Source organism: Homo sapiens, chromosome 1 (genome assembly GCF_000001405.40).
Source record: "Homo sapiens chromosome 1, GRCh38.p14 Primary Assembly".
In the NCBI taxonomy this organism is placed as follows: domain Eukaryota; kingdom Metazoa; phylum Chordata; class Mammalia; order Primates; family Hominidae; genus Homo; species Homo sapiens.
Genome location: NC_000001.11, coordinates 109,309,528 through 109,329,963, shown reverse-complemented (window position 1 = coordinate 109,329,963; position 20,436 = coordinate 109,309,528). Strand labels below are relative to the sequence as shown.

Sequence of the window (20,436 nt, the reverse complement as noted above, 5' to 3'; positions counted from 1 at the left end):
TTTTGTGGCCTAACATATGCACTATCCTGGAGAATATTCTCTGTGCACTTGAAAAGAATGTATATTCTGCTGCTATTGGATAGAATGTTCTGTATATGTCTGTTAGGTCCATTTGTATGGTGTTGTTCAAGTTTGCTCTTTCCTTACTGGTTTTCTGTCTGGATGATCTATCATTGAAAGTAAGTATTGAAGTCCCTTACTATTATTGTATTGTCGTCTACCTCTTTCTTCAGTTCTGTTAATGTTTGCTTTATACATTTAGGTGCTCTAATGTTGAGTGCATTTATATTTACCAATGTTATATGCTCTTGATGAATTGACACCTTTATCATTGTGTGGTAACTTTCTTTATCCCTTGTGATAGTTTTTTACTTAAAGTCTATTTTGTCTGATATAAATATAGCCACCCCCGGCTGGACATGGTGGCTCACGCCTGTAATCCCAGCTCTTTGGGAGACCAAGGCGGGCGGATCACGAGGTCAGGAAATCAAGACCGTCCTCACTAACATGGTGAAACCCTGTCTCTACTAAAAATACAAAAAATTAGCCGGGTGTGGTGGCAGGCGCCTGTAGTCCCAGCTACTTGGGAGGCTGAGGCAGGAGAATGGCATGAACCCAGGAGGCAGAGCTTGCAGTGAGCTGAGATGGCACCACCGCACTCCAGCCTGGGTGGCAGAGCGACACTCCGTCTCAAAAATAAATAAATAAATATAGCCACCCCTGCTCTCTTTTGGCTACCATTTGAGTGGAATATCTTTTTTTTATCTCTACTTTTAGCCTATGTGTCCTCTTACACACATAGGCCTTTACAGATGGCTTCAGCAGGGGAAGCCCTTACCAGGTAGCTCATCCAGAGATTCTTGGGGGGGCAACTGACAGGTTCTGCAGGTAGGTGGGCCTGGTGCCTTGGTCTTTGGGGGTAGCTTGGAGGCTGGGTCCTCTGCGGCAGGCCTGGCAGTGGAATCCACTAGGGTGGACCTTTTAAGTGGGTCTTCAGGTGAAACACCTGGAGCCCGGTAAGTAGATCTGCAGGAGCCAGCCTGGTGCAGGGGTGGGCCCTACCCTGAGCCTGCAGGGGCTGGCCTGATGCAGGGGTCCACTTGGCTGGGTCTGTGAGAGTGGACCTGGAGCCTTTAAGTTTCTTAAAGACAAGACTGGATCTTATTTCGAACCACCATCACATCTTGTACGGTGTCTGAAGTATATCAGGTGCTTATCAAGTTTATTTGTGTAGAGTCAGCCTTTAAACATTGTTCAGAGGCTTTGATGTAATGCAAAAATAAAATAAACGGAGACAGGTTACCCATGAGGAAATATTTGCTTCCAGATATTGTAGTACATTTCAGAATCAAGAGTATGCCACTGAGCTACAACTCAACAACAAACAAATAGCCTGAATAAAAAATAGGCAAAGAACTTGTATAGACATTTCTCCAAACACAATATAGAAGTGACTAACAAGCATATAAAAAGAGGCTCAGCATCACTAATCATTAGGAAAATGCAAGTCAAAACCACAATGAGGTATCTCCTCACACAGATTAGGGTGGCTACTATTTTAAAAAGTGTTGGCAAGGATATGGAGAAATTGGAGCCCTGGTGCACTTTTGGTGAAAATGTAAAATGGTGCAGCTGCTACAGAAAACAGCATAGTAGTTCCTAAAAAAAATTAAAAATAGGATTATCATATCCAGCAATTCCACTTCTGGATTATACATCCAAAAGAGTTGAAAGCAGGTTCTCAAAAAGATATTTGTACAACCATGTACATAGCAACATTATTCATGATAGCCAAAAGGTAGAAGCAACTTGTGTCTATTGACAGATAAATGAGTAAATAAAGTGTGGGGTGTGTGTGGATACAGATACACACACACACTTAAATAATATTTAGCCTTTAAAAGGGAGGAAATTCTGACATATGCTATTAATACAACATGGATGAGCCTTGAGGACATTATGCCAAGTGAAATAAGTCAGACACAAAATGACAAATATTATGTGATTCTACTTATATGAGCTACCTAGAGTAGCCAACACAAAGTAATATGGTAAAAATCATAGAAAACACAAAGTAAAATGGTAGTTTCCAGGAGCTGGGAGGAGGAAGAAGTAGGTAACAGTTGCTTAATTGGTGATTGTATTTTATAAGATGAAAAAGTTTAGAGATGTGGTTGTACAACAATGTGAATATACTTAACACTACTGAACTATACACCTAAATAGTAAATAAATAGTTAAGATAGTACTTTTACCTAGGTCTGGGTTAACTTAAAGCTTTATTGGAAGGGTTTTGTGAAATGATTAAAGAAATTGTATCTTTATCTTTGGTTCTAATCTACGCTTTTGTTTCTTTTCACAGTGCAGCCTTCATATTCATGCTTCCTACAGCATCTCCCAGAAACTGAATGTTCCAATGGCCCCACTCTCAGAGCCGAATGCCGTAGGCATTGTCATTGCTCATGGTAAGGAACCTCCCACTCACCACCTCCAACTGGAACAGTGGCTGAGCACACTGAAACTCAGCCAACAGGCTTTGAACGCTCTGAGAAGAAACAATGTGGATGCTTTTACATTCCTTTGGTAGAATTTCTTACATTATAACAACACTTTGGGTTTTTCATCAACTTTTATCAGAGAGAGCAACACAACTTCTCCGAAGTTTTTGGTGGTTTTCTTTCCTACTAAAAGAGGCTTGATGGGAAATAATCAGAATAAATTCATTCAACATTATTCTCTCTGGAGTAAATGCTCTCTGTTTCATTGCCTATTTGTGCTAATGAGATGGTGGATTATATTGCAGGTAGCGTGGGGGATGCCATCTCAGTGATGGTTCCAGATGTGTACATCTCAGATGATGGGGGTTACTCCTGGACAAAGATGCTGGAAGGACCCCACTATTACACCATCCTGGATTCTGGAGGCATCATTGTGGCCATTGAGCACAGCAGCCGTCCTATCAATGTGATTAAGTATGCATGAACTCATCTCACACACACTGTCTGCATAGAGGGCAACTGGGGGAATGTTCTTCAGTTTATTGGGGGGATGTTACAGACTATAATTCAAATTTTTGCATTTGACAGAACTATAGATAAGATTCTAGAAAGGATTGCTTTTAATTGGCAACTCAGATTAAATGGCATTGTTTTTTCTTCTGACTGCCTTTAGCTAACATATTTGTCACTTCTTAAAAACATTCTTTCTGGGTTGGGCGCAGTGGCTCATGCCTGTAATCCCAGCATTTTGGGAGGCCAAAGCAGGAGGATCGCTTGAGGCCAGGAGTTCAAGACCAGCCTGGGCAACATAGGGAGACCTTGTCCCTTGTCTCTAATATTATTTCAATCAAAAAAAAAACCATATATATATATATGTGTGTGTGTATATATGTATGTGTGTGTGTGTATATATATGTGTATATATATGTATATATATGTGTATATATATGTGTATGTGTGTATATATGTGTGTATATATATGTGTGTGTGTGTGTGTATGTATATATATATATATATATATATATATATATATATATTCTTTCTGTCTACAAAATTATTATGGAAGCGTTCAAGCACTCTAGATTGAAAATGACTTCTTAAGTACAAGTTCTGAGCTGGGTGCAGAGGCACACACCTGTAATCCCAGCACTTTGAGAGGCCAAGGTGGGTGGATTGCTTGAGCCCAAGAGTTCAAGACCAGCCTGGGCAATGTGACAAAACCCTGTCTCCACAAAAAAAAAAAAAGAAAAATTAGCTGGGCGTGGTGGTGCACGCCTTTGGTTCCAGCTACTTGGGAGGCCGAGGTGGGAGGATCACCTGAGGAGGTCAAGGCCACAGTGAGCTGAGATCGTACCACTGCACTCCAGCCTGGGTGACAGAGTGAGATCCCGTCTCAAAAAAAAAAAAAAAAGAAGTATAAGTTCTTATAAAATAATTTGATTGTTATTTATTTATTTATTTATTGAGATGGAGTTTTGCTCTTGTCACCCAGGCTGGAGTGCAATGGTGCAATCTTGGCTCACTGCAACCTCTGCCTCCCAGGTTCAAATGATTCTTGCGTCTCAGTCACCTGAGCAGCTGAGATTACAGGCATGCACCACCACACCCAGCTAATTTTTGTGGTTTTTTGTTTTGCTTTGTTTTTTGTGTTTTGGTAGAGACGGGGTTTTGTTGTGTTGGTCAGGCTGGTCTCGAACTCCTAACCTCAGGTGATTCACCTGCCTCAGCCTCCCAAAATTCTGGGATTACAGGCGTGAGCCACCACAGCCAGCCTTAAATTTATTAATTTAAAAGCCAGTTCTTACCTGGGTCACTCTCCTGTCTTTCCTTTGAAATAATTTCTGTAAAGGTATTTACTTTCATATTCTCTCTGAACAAATCTCTTCCTTATCCTGTTAACTACAGACGTTAAAAGTTAAAATAGTTGGCTGGGTGCGGTGGCTCACGCCTATAATCCCAGCACTTTGGGAGGCCAAGGTGGGAAGATTACCTGAGGTCAGGAGTTCAAGACCAGCCTGCCCAACATGTGAAACTCCATTTCTACTAAAAATACAAAAATTAGCTGGTGTGGTGGCACGTTCCTGTAATCCCAGCTACTCAGGAGGCTGAGGCATGAGAGAGAATCACTTGAACCCAGGAGGCAGAGGTTGCAGTGAGTCGAGATCGCGCCACTGCACTCCAGCCCGGTGACAGAGTGAGACTCCATCTCAGAAAAAAAAAAAAAAAAAAAAAAAGTTAAAATAATTGTCAGCCAATAAGCCACCACCTAAATGTAAGGGGTTTTGTCTGGTTTGGGATCAAAAAGCCAGAGTGGTTTTCTGAATTCCCAGTACACATTGATCCTCTGTCATGATCTTTCTGTAATTGTGGTTTCAGGTTCTCCACAGACGAAGGTCAATGCTGGCAAACCTACACGTTCACCAGGGACCCCATCTATTTCACTGGCCTAGCTTCAGAACCTGGAGCTAGGTCCATGAATATCAGCATTTGGGGCTTCACAGAATCTTTCCTGACCAGCCAGTGGGTCTCCTACACCATTGATTTTAAAGATATCCTTGAAAGGAACTGTGAGTGTCTCCTTTGACCTTTTCTACCAGAAACTTCCAAGTCCATTTTCCTAAATAATCAATATGGTTTAATTTCTTTTAGCTGGAATCAGCAGATGCATATGCATATGAAAGAGGATTGACAGATGTTCTGTGTGGGTGATTAAGTAATGGAATGGCATCAGAAAAACAACCTCCTCCTCGGTGCTAGCACTGTCCAGGAGAAATATGAGGGCCACATATGTCATTTAAATTATTCTGTCAGCTATATTATAAAAGTAAAAAGAAAGGTGATATTAATAAAATAAACTTAATATATCCAAAATATTATCATTTCAACATTAAGCAATATTAACGGCCCAGAAAATAGGTTCAGAAAAGGATTCACAATGTTCATTGCACAGTGTTTCCAAAGTGTCACAAGCAAACCCTAACCTCACTGCCAAACAAAGATGCTGGCATTATGCTAAGAAATAAGGGGAATGGCCAGGCGCGGTGGCTCATGCCTGTAATCCTAGCACTTTGAGAGGCCAAGATAGGCAGATCACGAGGTCAGGAGTTCGAAACCAGCCTGGCCAACAGGGCGAAACTCCATCTCTACTAAAAATAGAAAAATTAGCCAGGTAAGGTGGCGGGTGCCTGTAAGGTGGCGGGTCCCAGCTAGTTGGGAGGCTGAGGCAGGAGAATCATTTGAACCCGAGAGGAAGAGGTTGCAATGAGCCAAGATCATGCCATTGCACTCCAGCCTGGGCGACAAGAGCAAGACTCTGTCTCAAAAAAAAAAGAAGGGGGATAAAGAAAAACACTGGAAAAAGGATGACCTGTAGTTAAGTGTTGGCATAATACAATAAAAGACTTAACGTTTCTAGACACTCTAGTTGAATTTGGTCCTTTGAGACTGTCGTGGGCTCATTTCCTCAGCGTGTTGATTTAGTGACTCCTGAAGGAGCAGACCCTTGGTTTGGACCTCACATTTCCATAAGACGTTCAAATAGATTTAATGCCTGAGGGTCGCTGTCATCTAAATCCATTCAGTAGACTGTACAGAAGCTGGCTTGGGAGTTCTCCCCTCAGCAGGCAGCTCCCAGTTACCCCTAAAGTGTAATGTCATTAAAAGATTTGTTAAGCACCTGCTCTTTAGCAGGCTGTATGCTGGTCTTCATATCCCAAAGGATAAAACCTAATCCACTGTCTTTAGGTCACAGCCTTTGAGTCATTTTTCCAGTAGATGATACGACATACTAAGCCAGAAACTAGGTTTATCAGCAATATGCATTTGAGAGCCGGTCAACTGAGCTAGAAGTCTAGGAAAAGGATGTTTTCCCTTCTTCCTTAAGCCAATGAACACATGGTGAAATTGAACCTGTGCTCTTGGCTAATTAGTATCTTGTCCTAAACAAAGAGCTCCCTGGTCCTGAGTGGAGAATATCTGGTTGCTTACCTCTGACAGCTCCTACTGACTGAGGGCGTAGGTGTGCAAGACACACACAGCAGCCTCTTAGTTTGGAAGGAACTTGAGAGATTTTCTATCCAGCTTCCCACTTCAAAACAAATAGGGTTTTTCCTAATCCTCAGATGGATGTTGAGATGGAAGGAATACTCTTTTGGCATGAGGAAATGCGATTGCTAGTAGGCTCTAGACTAGTGTAACTTTTTGTTTGCAATTCCAAAATGAAGGAATAGGTTGAGTCAGACATTCCCACTTTCCCTCTCCTTGTTCTTCCTATAGCCTGGCAGCTGCCTCCCGTGGGTGGGTTCTGTGCTGTGTACTTTCCTGAACAGTGTGTCTCTCCTTTAGGTGAAGAGAAGGACTATACCATATGGCTGGCACACTCCACAGACCCTGAAGATTATGAAGATGGCTGCATTTTGGGCTACAAAGAACAGTTTCTGCGGCTACGCAAGTCATCCGTGTGTCAGAATGGTCGAGACTATGTTGTGACCAAGCAGCCCTCCATCTGCCTCTGTTCCCTGGAGGACTTTCTCTGGTATCAGCATTCCTCAGATTTCTCTGTCTCCCTTTCCCTGTTGGAGGAGGTGAAAGACAGTTTTCTTATAGGGCTAACAAATATTGAAATCCAGCCGGGTGCGGTGGCTCACACCTGTAATCCCAGCACTTTGGGATGCCAAGGCAGGCAGATCACTTGAGGCCGGGAGTTCGAGACCAGCCTGGTCAACATGGTGAAACCCTATCTCTACAAAAAACAAACAAACAAAAAAAAATTAGCAGGGCATGGTGGCGCACGCCTATAATCCCAAGCTGCTCAGGTGGCTGAGACACAAGAATCACTTGAACCTGGGAGGCAGAGGTTGCAGTGAGCTGAGATCATGCCATTGCACTCCAGCCTGGGGGACAGAGCAAGACTCTTGTCCCAAAAAAAACTGAAACCCTTTCCCCCAAGAGTGGAGAACTGCTGCTTCTTATCAAGGAAGCTGAGGCACAGAGAAAGGAAACCAGAATTGTTAATAATGAAACAGATAGCACGTATTAGACAGTTAATTATTGGGCAGAACCAGCAACAAACCCGAGAAATCCTGAGTTGACAGTGGTGTGAAGGAGAGGAGTGATATAAGAAAGAAGAGAATAAAACAAACAAAAATCTGTAGAAAATGAAAAGACAGAAACACCAAAAGAAGTGGTAGAGGAGCAAAGAGGAAATTGGACTTTAGAAAACAGCCTGAGGCCAGGCACGGTGGCTCATGCCTGTAATCCCAGCACTTTGGGAGGCCGAGGCGGGTGGATTGCTTAAACTCAGGAGTTTGAGACCAGCTTGGGCAATATGATGAGACCCTGTCTCAAACAAAAAAAAAAACAGAAAGAAAGAAAAAGAAAACCCCTTGACAGCATGAGCTCAGCAGGCAGACACTAGGTTTTGGATCCTCTGCAAGAATCAAGGCAGAGAGATGGTGGTTGGTCCTGAGACTAGAGGTGACATCAGTATAGTCATGGTCCCATCAAGGTTTAGAGGCCATCAAAGTGGACTCCCTAGAGTTCAGGACCATCCAGACTTAAGGATTAGTTACTTGGCTGGCATTGGGTTAGTTGATTATATAAGGGCATGAGTCCCTGGATAGCTTAAATGAGGTAATTTTTGGGCAAATAAGAGGAACTGCTTCACATCACAGATGATAATCTTTTGGAACTTGTTACCTGCAAAAGATACTGACACAAGATAAAAGTAGATCCTAAAGGATTTGGACAAAGAAGGCAGGCAGATAGCAGCCATGGCCCTTTATGTCATGTTCTCTCAAATCGCAGGTGACAGTAGAATATAGGTCTGACCAAAATGCAGGTCTGACCCAGTGTGGTTTCTCCTGCATGGCTCACACCTGTGTGTGGCATGATTAAGGGTCCTCCCTTCTCTGTTTCAGTAAGGATCACCTTTGGTGTTCCAGTAGGGCTGGAGGTCATCGATAAACCTGTAACACTGTAAAGGGTTCTCTCCTATCCTCGACTCCAAATATGCCAAGCTCTTCACCTGTGCTTCTGCTCTTCTCCAGCAGTGCCATGGTTTTTCAGACCTCCATGCCACCGCACATGATGCTCCCTCTGCCTGAAAAGTCTTTCCACAGTCCCTGCTTCACCCCCAAGTCTGGCGACTTCCCACTTAGCCTTTCATACTTAGCTCAGGTATCACCACTAGATGGGCTTTCCCTCATCTAGACCCCCAGAGTTCCCCTATTACAGCACTTACTAAATTTTAATTACTATTTATAGGTTTGCTTCCATCATTAAGCCCCAAATTCCTTGGAAGCATATTCTATTCGATAATAATATAGTAATCATGATAGCAGCTAACATTTATTGAGCACTAACTTTATACTAGGCACTATCCTAAGCAATTTACATTTAACCTCGCAACAGAGAGGACATGACTGATATGCCCGTGGGAAGTGGCAGAGCTGGGATGTGAAACTGGCATCCCAACTCCAGAGCCCACATGTTTGGGAAGTGGGTCCTTTATGAGTGAGAAGGGTACTCACAAAAATCCAGAAATTTCTGATTGAATACCTAAAACTCTTATCCGAATTTCCTCCTGTTATTTGAGGGGTGATATCTTCAGCATCTTTTGTTCTCCATACCCTCTCTCCTAAATACTTACCAGGAAAACCTTGAAATACAAGCAGCATCCATATATTCCCCAAATACTCATTGAATACCAGCTATGCGCAGGTAATGAAAAGTGATAATGGAAAATTTGTTGCAAAACAGAAGGTGCCAGGTGCCATGGGGATTTAGAAAAGGAAGAGAACATTTCATGTAGAGCTGAAAGGAAGTGGGTCAAAGAAGGCCTTGTTGAGGAGGTGGTATGAGAGCTGAGCGTTGACAAATGGTAGGATTTGACCATGAGCATCTGGGAAGAAGCAGCTCATCAATGCCAGTGGACTGCTGCAAGCAGAGACACCAACAGCATGATCAAGGAAGGGTGTCCTGGAAGATAGGCCATTGGGGAAGTCACAGTAGTCATGATAAAGAAGTAAGTAGGGCCCAGAAGGAGGATCCTCAGGCTAAATTTTCCACTGAGATAGTGGGAAGGAAGGTAATGTCATGGACGAATACGGAAATGATAAGGAGAGCCTGGCACAAAGGAGAAAACATGATGTATTTTGAACATCTTATTTCTTTGAGGTTTTGTCAGCATATTTAGGTGGGATATCCAGCATGTATTTGAAATATAGGATTAGAACTCAAGAGAGGTAAAACCTGGAAGTTTTAGTTGCAACCAAAAATAGTTGTGATCACTAAGGGAGAGCAGATAGAGAAAAAGTAAGAGAATGCATTATACCTGCCCCCTGCCCCCGGCAAAAGACTACATTTATGGGTTAGGAAGAAAGAAGAGCAAGCAGTGGCGGGGGCAGCAGAGGGCAGAGAAACAGATGAGTGCAGCTTTACCAATGCCAAGGTTGGCAGGGGCACAACAGTATGTCAGATGCTGCAGAATGGGTGGTCTGGGGGAATGAGACCCGAGAGGGCTCCACTGAATTTGATGATTATTGAGCCTTAGGGGCACTGCAGACACTCATTTTCTTTTCTTTTCTTTTTTTTTTTTTTGAGACGGAGTCTCGTGCTGTCGCCCAGGCCGGAGTACAGTGGTGCGATCTCAGCTCACTGCAACCTCCACCTCCCGGGTTCAAGCGATTCTTCTGCCTCAGCCTCCCGAGTAGCTGGGATTATAGGCACACACCACTGCACCTGGCTAATTTTTTGTATTTCTAGTAAAGACGGGGTTTCACCATGTTGGCCAGGCTGGTATTGAACTCTTGACTTCAGGTAATCCGCCTGCCTCGGCCTCCCAAGTGCTAGGATTATAGGCATGAGCCACCACGCCCGGCCCAGACACTTATTTTCAAAGTTGCAGAAGGGGTCAAAGCCAAAATGCGTGGAAGAAAAAATAAATGAGTAAAATAGGACAAGTAAAAAAATATTCTTTTGAGAAATGTGGGTAGTAAGGGAGAGGTGGGTTAAGGAAGTAATTTCTAAGGTCAAGACATGCAGGCTAAGGAGACGCTGCCAGCTGAGTGGGAGAGATTGATTGTTCCCCTCATACTCAGGGAAGCAAGGCCCCAGGGCAGGTCGGAGGAGGGGAACCAAGGATGCTCATGGAGTCAGCCCTGGAGATTGTCAGCAGACATTGTTTCTTTGGGGTAAACAGGAAAAGGAGAGCAGTGGGTGGCACTATGGAGAGATGGGGTAGAATGGAGGACAGAAAAAGGTGTTCACATGGAAGGCAAAGACTATCTAAGAAGCTAAGAGGAACAGAAGTGGGGAAGACAGAAAAATTTGCCGTGTACTGCAAGGGCAACATAATAATGACATTTGGAGGTAAAGAAAAGAATTGCTGGCTGGGCACAGTGACTCATGCCTGTAATCCCAATACTTCGGGAGGCTGAGGCAGGTGGATCTCTTGAGCTCAGGAGTTTGAGATCAGGCTGGGCAATATGGCAAAACTCTTTCTACAGAAAATACAAAAATTAGCAAGGCACAGTGGTTCACGCCTGTAATGCCAGCACTTTGGGAGGCTGAGGTGGACAGATCACTTGAGCCCAGTAGTTCAAAACAAGCCTGAGCAATTTGTCAAGACCTCATCTTTACAAAGAATTAGACGAGCATGGTGGTGCATGCATGTGGTTCCAGCTCCTTGGGAGGCTGAAGCGGAAAGATCACTTGAGCCCAGATGGTTGAAGCTACAGTGTTCATGCCGCTGTACTCCAGCCTGGGCAACAGAGCGAGACCCTGTCTCAAAAAAAAAGCGGGGAGGGGGAAGAAAAGAAAAGAATTGCCAAGTATCCCTGAGTTGAGAGCTGCTGCTGATGCTGAGGTTTCTGTGTGAGTCTCCACCCCTCTGCAGGCTGCATCAGTCACCTCCCTGCGCCTGAGCTGCCTGCAGTGCACAGCCTTGGGGCCCTAGCTAGTCCTACCCCCACCAGGCCTGACCCATAAGCTTCTTTTCCTTAATAAGGCCCTCTCTGGCGGGGCACGGTGGCTCACACCTGTAATCCCAGCACTTTTGGAGGCCGAGGTGGGCGTATCACAAGGTCAGGAGTTTGAGACCAGCCTGACCAACATGGTGAAACGCTCTCTCTACTAAAAATAAAAAATTAGCCAGGCATGGTGGCATGCACCTGTAATCCCAGCTACTCAGAAGGCTGAGGCAGGAGAGTCGCTTGAAGCCGGAGGCGGAGGTTGCAGTGAGCCAAGAACACGCCACTGCACTCCAGCCTAGGCGAGAGAGTGGGACTCCATCTCAAAAAAAAAAAAAAAAGGCCCTCTCCGTGTCTGTTTTCCTAAATCGACCTCCTTCAGAGGTGTCACAGGACTTCCTGAGCTACTTTCTAACAACCCAAGACTGGAATGTTAACCATCCACTACCCCACATAACCCTTCATTGCTAGTCACTTAACGGTCTTCCAGCTGCTTTGAAAGGTACTTTATTTGCTGACTCTTGCAGTGATTTTGGCTACTACCGTCCAGAAAATGACTCCAAGTGTGTGGAACAGCCAGAACTGAAGGGCCACGACCTGGAGTTTTGTCTGTACGGAAGAGAAGAACACCTAACAACAAATGGGTGAGGTGGCCTTTTCTCCCTTGTCACGATGGATGAGGTGTTCTTGTTCAGAGTGAAAGCTGCTTCTCTCCACACTGAGATCCAAGCCCTACTTTAGAGCACTATTTTTGGCGGGGTTGGGGAGGGGCAGGATATGAAGGCCTCCTTCAAGGGTCAACTACAGGAGGTGAGCCATGAGTGCTTGGTGTCAGAGGACTCAACCCCACCAACACCACGAGGCAGAGCAGGAGAACAAGCTCGGCCAGATCCTGCACCCCTGCCTCCCGCCCAACCACCCCCAGGAAGGGAGGAGAGGCGAGGGACCCACAGGCAGAATGACAGAAGCGTCCCATCCGCCATGAACGTCCATCGCTCGTCTGGCACAGTTTAGGCACAGCCAGGGAGAGCTCTGTCTGATAGGACTTTCTTTGGTGATGGAAGTGTTCTGTAATTTGCTGTGCCCAATATGATAGTCACTAGCCACACATAGCTGTGGACACTAGTGTAACCGAGGAACTGAAATTTTCGTTTTAATCAATTTTAAGTAGCCACCATATTGGACAGTGCTGCTCTAGACGGGCCTCATTACCTCGCTCCCCTGATAACTTCCCCTCTCCCATTTTGTACCACTTGTTAATGAGCTTTTTTGGGGTCAGATTTCTTTGGCACAGTCTCTTAGGTAGAAAGAACAGGCATGTTTCTGACAGCAGGGGACAGAGATGCTTAGTTTGCTTAAGGCCTGAAACTACACAAAATATCCCCCAAAACATCCCTGTGGACATTCCCCCCAGGCCTGAAACATGACGTAAGGATGGGAAGCTTTTCGGCAGCTTTTCAAATCTTGTTTCCAAGAAATAGGCAGGTACCCAGGAATACATCCTTATCTTCTGTTACCAAATCTTCTTTGCCTGGTAGGTACCGGAAAATTCCAGGGGACAAATGCCAGGGTGGGGTAAATCCAGTTCGAGAAGTAAAAGACTTGAAAAAGAAATGCACAAGCAACTTTTTGAGTCCGGAAAAACAGGTATGTTAAAATAGGTCTAGTTTTCAGGTACAAATGGGATTTTGTGTTCTGCTAAGAAAAATCAAAGTTAAAGCATCAAGAGTTTTGTTACTGATAAAAAGTGGTCAAACTACTTCTCTCAGGCTTCCCTTATACAGGAAGCTGTTAGCATGAAGGATGGGTCATGTAACCCAGTGATAAGCTCACCCTACTGAAAGCTCTTTTCTTATTGAGGGTTGGGGGATGATATTCTGTAAAGTTGTAAAATTCTTAAAATCATACAGTTGTGGAAATTTCTGAGGCTGAGAGTCATTTAGGAAAACAAAAAGGTTGTCTGTGGGCTGGGTACAGTGGCTCACACCTGTAATCCCAGCACTTTGGAAGTCCAAGGCAGGCAGATCACTGAGGTCAGGAGTTCAAGACCAGGCTGTCCAACATGGTGAAACCCTGTCTCTGCTAAAAATACAAAAATTAAAATTACAAAAATTAGCTGGGTGTGGTGGTTTACGCCTGTAGTCCCAGTTACTCGGGAGGCTGAGGTAGGAGAATCATGTGAACCTGGGAGGTGGAGGTTGCAGTGAGCCGAGATCGTGCTGCTACACTCCAACCTGGGCAACAGAGCAAGACTCCGTACCAAAAAAAAAAGGTTGTCTGTGAAGGGCCATGACCTGGAATTGTGCATGTGTGGAAGAGAAGAGCACTGGGCAATAGGTAGGGTGGATCTCTGACCAAGTCATGTTAAGTATGTTCAAAGTGAAAAATTGAGCTATGGTAATGGGCTGGTTTTGATTTAAATGAAGCAAGTTACCTGTCGGGCATGGTGGCTTACTCCTGTATAGTCCCAGCACTTTGGGAGGCTGAGGTGGGGAGATCAGTTGAGGCTATGAATTGGAGAGCAGCCTGGGCAACATGGAGAAACTCCATCTTTACAAAAAAAATACAAAAATTAGCCGGATGTGGTGGTGTGTGCCTGTAGTCCCAGCTACTCAGGAGGCTGAAGGGAGAGAATCACCTGAGCCTGGGAGGTCAAGGCTGCAGTGAGCCATGATCATATCACTGCACTCCAGCCTGGGTGACAGAGTGAGATCCTGTCTCAATTTAAAAAAAAAAAAAAAAAAAAAAGGTTATGAGGCTGCATCCAAATCTGTAGCACTGAACTACCTGTGGAACTGGAGATGTGTAAAGAGGAAACCTCTTGATAATGAAACACTAGACCAGCAGCATGACTTCAGATGCTCAACAGCAGGCCCGTTTCCCAATTCGTAATAGGAGAGGTCAAGCTGGATCACCTGCAGTCCCTCCTCTCTGCTGTTCTAAGGGATGAGGGACTGACAAGGGGTGGGATTAAGGAGATGATGGGAGAGGAGTGTGTGAGTGTGTGTATTGGTAAGGGGGCGAGTTCCTCCTTCTGTGCACCCTTGTCCTGGGCTCCTGGTGACTCTCCTCAGAGTGTTCGTGTGTGTGATTGCACAGGACTCCCACCCACAGGGACACAGCTTGTCCTAGAATCCAGCTCTGCCTCCTCTGGGATACATTGAAAACACACACTCCCTATTTCCCACCCAGAAGCAGGTAGGTCACATGCAAACAGTGATATGATAAGGCTTATTTATAATAATATATAAAAAATTAAGTAAACAAATAAATCTTGGTGTCATATAATGGCCTGCCTGGTTCTTCTGACACAGCTTCTTCCCAGATAATGGCCCTGTTCTAGAGTCATTCAGCCTACTGTTACAGTAGTCTCCCTTTCCTACTCCACCCTTAAGCCCCAAGACTTGTGAACAGTGGTAGTGTGAAGCAATCATACTTGATCTAGGCAGTTGCCCAGGCTTCCAGTGTAACTTTGACATTTAAACCACAGAATTTGAAGGTTCAAGGCAGTTGGAGCTAAGATGACTCTCTGCCAGCTATAATATTCTCCTGGTAACACTGAGATGGTTCATCTTGGGGGGTTGGAAAAGAGCCATCATTAAGCGCATCAGGACTGCAGATCATTCACAAAGAGATGAGGGGAATGAGTGGCTGCCTTGACCTCAGTCCTAGGATATGCATGCCTAAAACTTTTGTGTTTGTGTTTTAATTTCTCAAGAATTCCAAGTCAAATTCTGTTCCAATTATCCTGGCCATCGTGGGATTGATGCTGGTCACAGTCGTAGCAGGAGTGCTCATTGTGAAGAAATATGTCTGTGGGGGAAGGTAAGGAACACAGAAGTCAATCCAAGGTACTGAGTTCAAGCCAGAAGGCTGATCTAGGGCATATGGCTGAGTCTACTCTTGGCAAAAACTAGGTACTTGCAGTACTGTTCCTGAAAAATCAGGCCCAAATCTTCTCATGTCGTACATTTTTCATATGTCAACCATGGACTGTGCTTTCTGTGTCTGTGATGCGTTCCTGAGTGTATAAAACTGAGAAAGTCCACAGTCCTGTAAGAAGTGCACCCCTGCTGTGTACCACCGAGTGTTAAGGAGGTTTCTGTTCACAGGTTCCTGGTGCATCGATACTCTGTGCTGCAGCAGCATGCAGAGGCCAATGGTGTGGATGGTGTGGATGCTTTGGACACAGCCTCCCACACTAATAAAAGTGGTTATCATGATGACTCAGATGAGGTGAGGCTATTTCTTCTTGAATGGTAGTACCCCCCCCCCCAAAAAATACAAGAAAATAAAGTCTGTCTTCTATTCATGATCAAGATATGCCAGGGCCAAGGCGACTTAATGACCATAAGATTTGGCAAGCCCAGAAACTAGGTGATTGCTTTTGAAATAGGAGTGTTGTGGTCTGTCGGTAATATGGTGCATGTCTTTTTCAGGACCTCTTGGAATAGCTCTTCAGAGGAGCTGGACCCAGCATGGATGGTGGAACCACAGTACCTCTTACACTCCCTGTGGCTCCAACTTCAGGAAATAAATTTCCCATTGCGAGGGACCCAGCTCTGTTTCTGCTGCTTCCATCAAAGCCAAAAGGACCTACACTAAAGAAATGCAGGGTGGGGGTGGGGAACCCTGAGCACTTTTTTACAATTGGCTCTGAGAAAAAGGGAGACATTTTAAATTCTTTAACTTCTTATTTCTCGTCCTGTCTCTTTGCAAAGTATGGGCTTTTTTGTTTTTGTTTTTTAAGGGAAACGAAATGGAATTCGAAGGGACCTTTTCACTAACCCCACTTCTGTGTGTTCTGCATGGCGCCTGCCCCAGGGCATCTGCCAACTCCAGTATCAGCTCTCACAGTGTACTTGGTACCATCCCTGGGCTCTGCTGGCGAGACGAAACAGCTGTAGAGATGAAAACAGGCTGCAGAGGCTGGCACAGCCTGGCCGGCTTTTCTCCATCTGGGGACAGTCCTACTCCAAGAACACTGCACACCAGCTCCTCACACAGATCCCACTTACTCTTTTTTTTTTTTTCAGAGACCACAGACCACAGTGATTTTTCTTTTCCCTTGTTTAATTAGGCAATACCCTTGTTAATTGCCCTTTGGCAACTAACTTAACCATGTGCTTCCCACACAGTACATCAGGAAAACTTACAGGGCAATATTTTTAACTTGGGGCAGGAAGAAGGGAGCAGCAGAGAATTGACTAGATATAGCACCTATTAAAAGAGAACTCTTGCTTCTTCTGAGATTTTTCAAGCTGTGCTTTGTGTGTGTGCCAGTAGACTTACGCAAGGACAGGGTACAAACTTAGCTGGAAGTCTGCCCAGGCTGAATGATCTCTTCCCTAGAGTTGATTGTCGGGTACACAGTGTGAACCCCCGAAGACGGAACCTCACAGTCTTCCATGTTCCCTTCTTAACTGTCGTGTGGCTCGTTGCTAAATCATGACAATGGCTGCCTATCTGCTGCTTCTTAGGTTGCTGTTGTACATGGAACCAGGACTAGAGATTTTTTCAGATTTATAGACTTAAAAAATTAGAATTTTATTACCAGGCTTTCCTTCTCACCCCTTTTTTCTGACTTTGCCAAGTAATTTGTTGACACGAAAATTTTGGAGGAACCAATTGAAAACACACTTCCAGTCTAGATGATGCTTTGTGTGATACATTAAGTTCTTATTTTGGATTAAAAGAAGTTTTCCATTTGATACCTCTCTAAATTAAATAAATTATAGAATGTAGTTGGGTGGATTTTGGGGTGGCCATATAGTAATGGAAAGCTGCAATAATTAGTTTTAATACAGCTTGAATATTTGCTATATAGAAATATAGTATGGAAAGTTTTTGGTCTTAATGTAGCTACTGTGCGGGTCACAGTTTCTCCCAATGATTATGACTGGGACATTCTTTGGTAGATACCATTTGCTACTAGTTTATTTTGTGGCTAGAAAGTCAGTTTTGTGTGTTTTTTTTTTTTTTTATTTGAAGTGCCAAATTAACTTTAGTCAGAATGTGAGCAGATGGCTAAGTTCTCTCCTCCCCAGAATGGATTAACAGCTGCGTGGAAAGTGGGGGAGAGAGTGGATGGAGACTTTTAGAGATGTTAAAACTGCAGTAGAATGAAATGAGTCAGGGAGCTTCAGTTAGAAAATAAAGTTGAGGCAGTTTTTGTGAAGATAATATGGTTAGGGCTGGAGTGCACTAGTCTTTTTGCTTATTCATTTTGCATGGTTTTAAAATTAAAAATAATTCCGAAGATACACCAGCTCACAAATGAAAACGTCAGCCTCTGCCCCACCCTCCCTCCTGCCCAAAGTGAATTTGGTACTCAGAAAAGAACTGTTTATACCACTCACCTTTCTCCCAGCATGTACTCACTGTGGGCAGATGCACCAATACATGGTAATCCTCTTACTCATTTTAAGACGTAGGAAACTCAATATTCTTCTCTAACCATATACGATAGGGCTCTTCGCTTTTAATGATATCTGGGATTTCTGTGGAACTTGGCAAATTTTCAGAGCACCTTCACTCACATAATGTCATTTGAACCTCACAATGTTCTTGGGATGGAGTCAGTTGTTCAGGGTCCCCGTGTGTGTGATAAGCAGTGCTGGCTGGCTGTCTTCAGAACTCTTGGAAATCTTTACACATGCGAGTGCTAACCACTTTGAGCAAGGCTGCCTTCTTGTAGATGACTTGCTGTTCTTTATGACAGGGATCAGTGGCATTTGTTTCCTAGCAGTATTTAGCACCTTTTTGCCACCTTGGTGAACAGAAAATTGTATTTTCCTGTCTTTCATGGCTGAAAACAAAAGTAATGGGAATTTTAAATACGTTTGCAGAAACTGCCCCTCCCCTCATTGAGGGTCACTGCTCAAGAGTGCAGGAGTGGACTCTCCACTGATGGGTCTCCCTCCCCATCCTGGTTTCCACCCCGGGCTGGCTAGCTCTGTTGGTTTGAAGACTGACAGCCAGCCTGGCTCATTCTCATTATTGGCTAGTTAGCTTTCTTTATCAACCTGCTCACTCACAAATGTGTGCCCTCAGCCAGAGAGTAAGAAAGCCCAAATCTGTTACAGCTTCTAAAAAAATAGATTTCTAATTTGTCCTACTCATGTTAGGAGCATTATCTTTGAAGGTAAAACATAGTGTATCATTGTGTAAACTCCCAGGCTTGATGTAGCAGAAGAGATCATTTCTGGAGGCTTCAGCAATGGAATTTAGCATTATAAGAGAGATTGGACAAACCAGTCCAAAGTGGTCCGAGTTCTTAAATCCAGGTAGGGAACTCACTCTTCTTTCTTCTCTGGACCTAATTGGGCATTGGGCTTTAGTGAGACCACAGACCAGGCCCGTCTCTCCTGTAGGCTTTTAATTCAATGGCAACTCTATTTCAAAGAATAAAAGCCTTTGGAGAGTTGCGGCAGTTCTGGGGGCGGGCTCAGGAGAGTCCATAGATCAGCCGTAACTGGAACGTAGAATCTACGTCTGCCTCTGAATGGACTTCCCACCTCCTCTCTCTTGCTCTGATGCTTGCCTCTGGGCCTCTCCATGCCCAAGGTGGTCTTTCATCCTTGACAGGCTGGTAATGTGCTGGCCACCTCCAGCTCCTGCATCGAGTCTGTAAACCAGAGCTGGTTCTCATGGCCTTCGTCACGATACCAGGATACGGAGGGGAGCCCAGGGCCATCCATACCCACCCCAGGGTAACGGGGCTGGCCTGGCATTAGTCATTATTTAGTTTCCAGGCCAACCATCCAGATAGAGATTCCCTCTTTCCTTTGAGCAGTGCTCTCAAGAGCTCCGTGCCTGTCCACAATGACCTAGAGTGCATCCTGCTCATTGTCAGTGTAGCCCCTCGCCCCTATATTCATCCAGGATACTTGGAAGTGCTAAAATAGGAAGGGATTCGGCTTTCAACTTTGCTACCATCTTCCCTGAAGCAGGAAAATGAACATGGACTTAAATGTTCTTTGAAAAAACCAAAGTTTTAAGATTTGCTGTGTGATGAAGTGACAGGGAGGGCCGGAGTCAGCAGGTGCCAGACTTTCTGTTCTGTCTGCCATGGGTTTGTCCAGCTCAGGTAGCTCTAGGAGCACCATCCTGCCCTAGCAGAGCCCAGGCCTTGCCCTCATGAAGCATCATTGAAATAGCAGGAGCATGTTGATTTCTTGGTTAGGTTGCATTATAATAACAAGAGTCAGAACATTAATTCGAAACAACTTGCAGTATGCATTTCTTCACACCAGTACATTCTTAAGTGTACTTGTTTATAAGGAATAACATAAACTAATCTGTACCTTTATATATATGTGTGTGTACATATATACATATATAAACTGTATAGTGTACATGGTAATGATTTATTGCTATGCCCCAGATCCTTAATGTAGTTCTCATCCTCCGCATGCCCTCAGCCACAAGCGGGTGACTGACTGTTCCCTGATGATTTGGCCCACCTCCTGTGTTTGGACCTCTAGGGAGGAGGGTTTTGGTCATACTCTCCTTATCCTCGTGCACAGAAATGCTCAGGGTCCCCATGTGCCTGTTGTTCAGCCCTCTCTCTTGTTCCCTTTCTGAGCATGTGGTCCTTCCCCAGGCTGTGGGACAGCTGCCTTCCCACGAAAGTGTAAAGCAGTATTAAGATCATTACTGCATGTGCCCTAAAAACCCAAGTTTTCTATTCCCTTAGGACAGAAAATTGCATGTGAGGTGGGATAATCGAGTTTCAGTGACCCACGTCAGTTACACATTAAAGCCAGACCCCATGATAAAATTCCACAAAATGGAAATAAAACTCAAATTTCTTTAGCATTGTGTAAATAAATCTGAATGTGTTTAACTTTGTACTGGTAATTTTCTGTATATTTGGAATATTTGGGTTAAAAATAAAACAGACTGGACTTTGTTACCTGACCTACTGAAATGACTAAGCTACAGTTTGTTGATATACTTTTTCCAGT

General features: G+C 44.3%; 1 protein-coding gene across 4 annotated transcripts in view, besides 1 other annotated feature; it reads left to right on the top strand.

Annotated features, from left to right (window-relative positions):
• SORT1 (sortilin 1) overlaps window positions 1-20,389 on the top strand; it is an 88,344-nt gene extending 67,955 nt beyond the window's left edge. For all 4 annotated transcript variants that reach the window (XM_005271100.3, NM_002959.7, NM_001205228.2 and 1 more), the window contains exons 12-20: window positions 2,363-2,465; window positions 2,804-2,972; window positions 4,875-5,065; window positions 6,843-7,032; window positions 11,995-12,111; window positions 13,006-13,114; window positions 15,186-15,292; window positions 15,580-15,703; window positions 15,907-20,389. In XM_005271100.3, the coding sequence (XP_005271157.1) occupies window positions 2,363-2,465; window positions 2,804-2,972; window positions 4,875-5,065; window positions 6,843-7,032; window positions 11,995-12,111; window positions 13,006-13,114; window positions 15,186-15,292; window positions 15,580-15,703; window positions 15,907-15,921 (1,125 nt within the window). In that variant the 3' untranslated portion in view covers window positions 15,922-20,389. The remainder of the gene's footprint in view (window positions 1-2,362; window positions 2,466-2,803; window positions 2,973-4,874; window positions 5,066-6,842; window positions 7,033-11,994; window positions 12,112-13,005; window positions 13,115-15,185; window positions 15,293-15,579; window positions 15,704-15,906) is intronic.
• Window positions 8,051-8,251: a silencer, noted in NCBI's record as "peak354 fragment used in MPRA reporter construct". NCBI's record gives its function as "represses an SCP1 promoter by STARR-seq MPRAs in K562 erythroleukemia cells {active_cell/tissue: K562}" and the evidence as "EXISTENCE:reporter gene assay evidence [ECO:0000049][PMID:32103011]".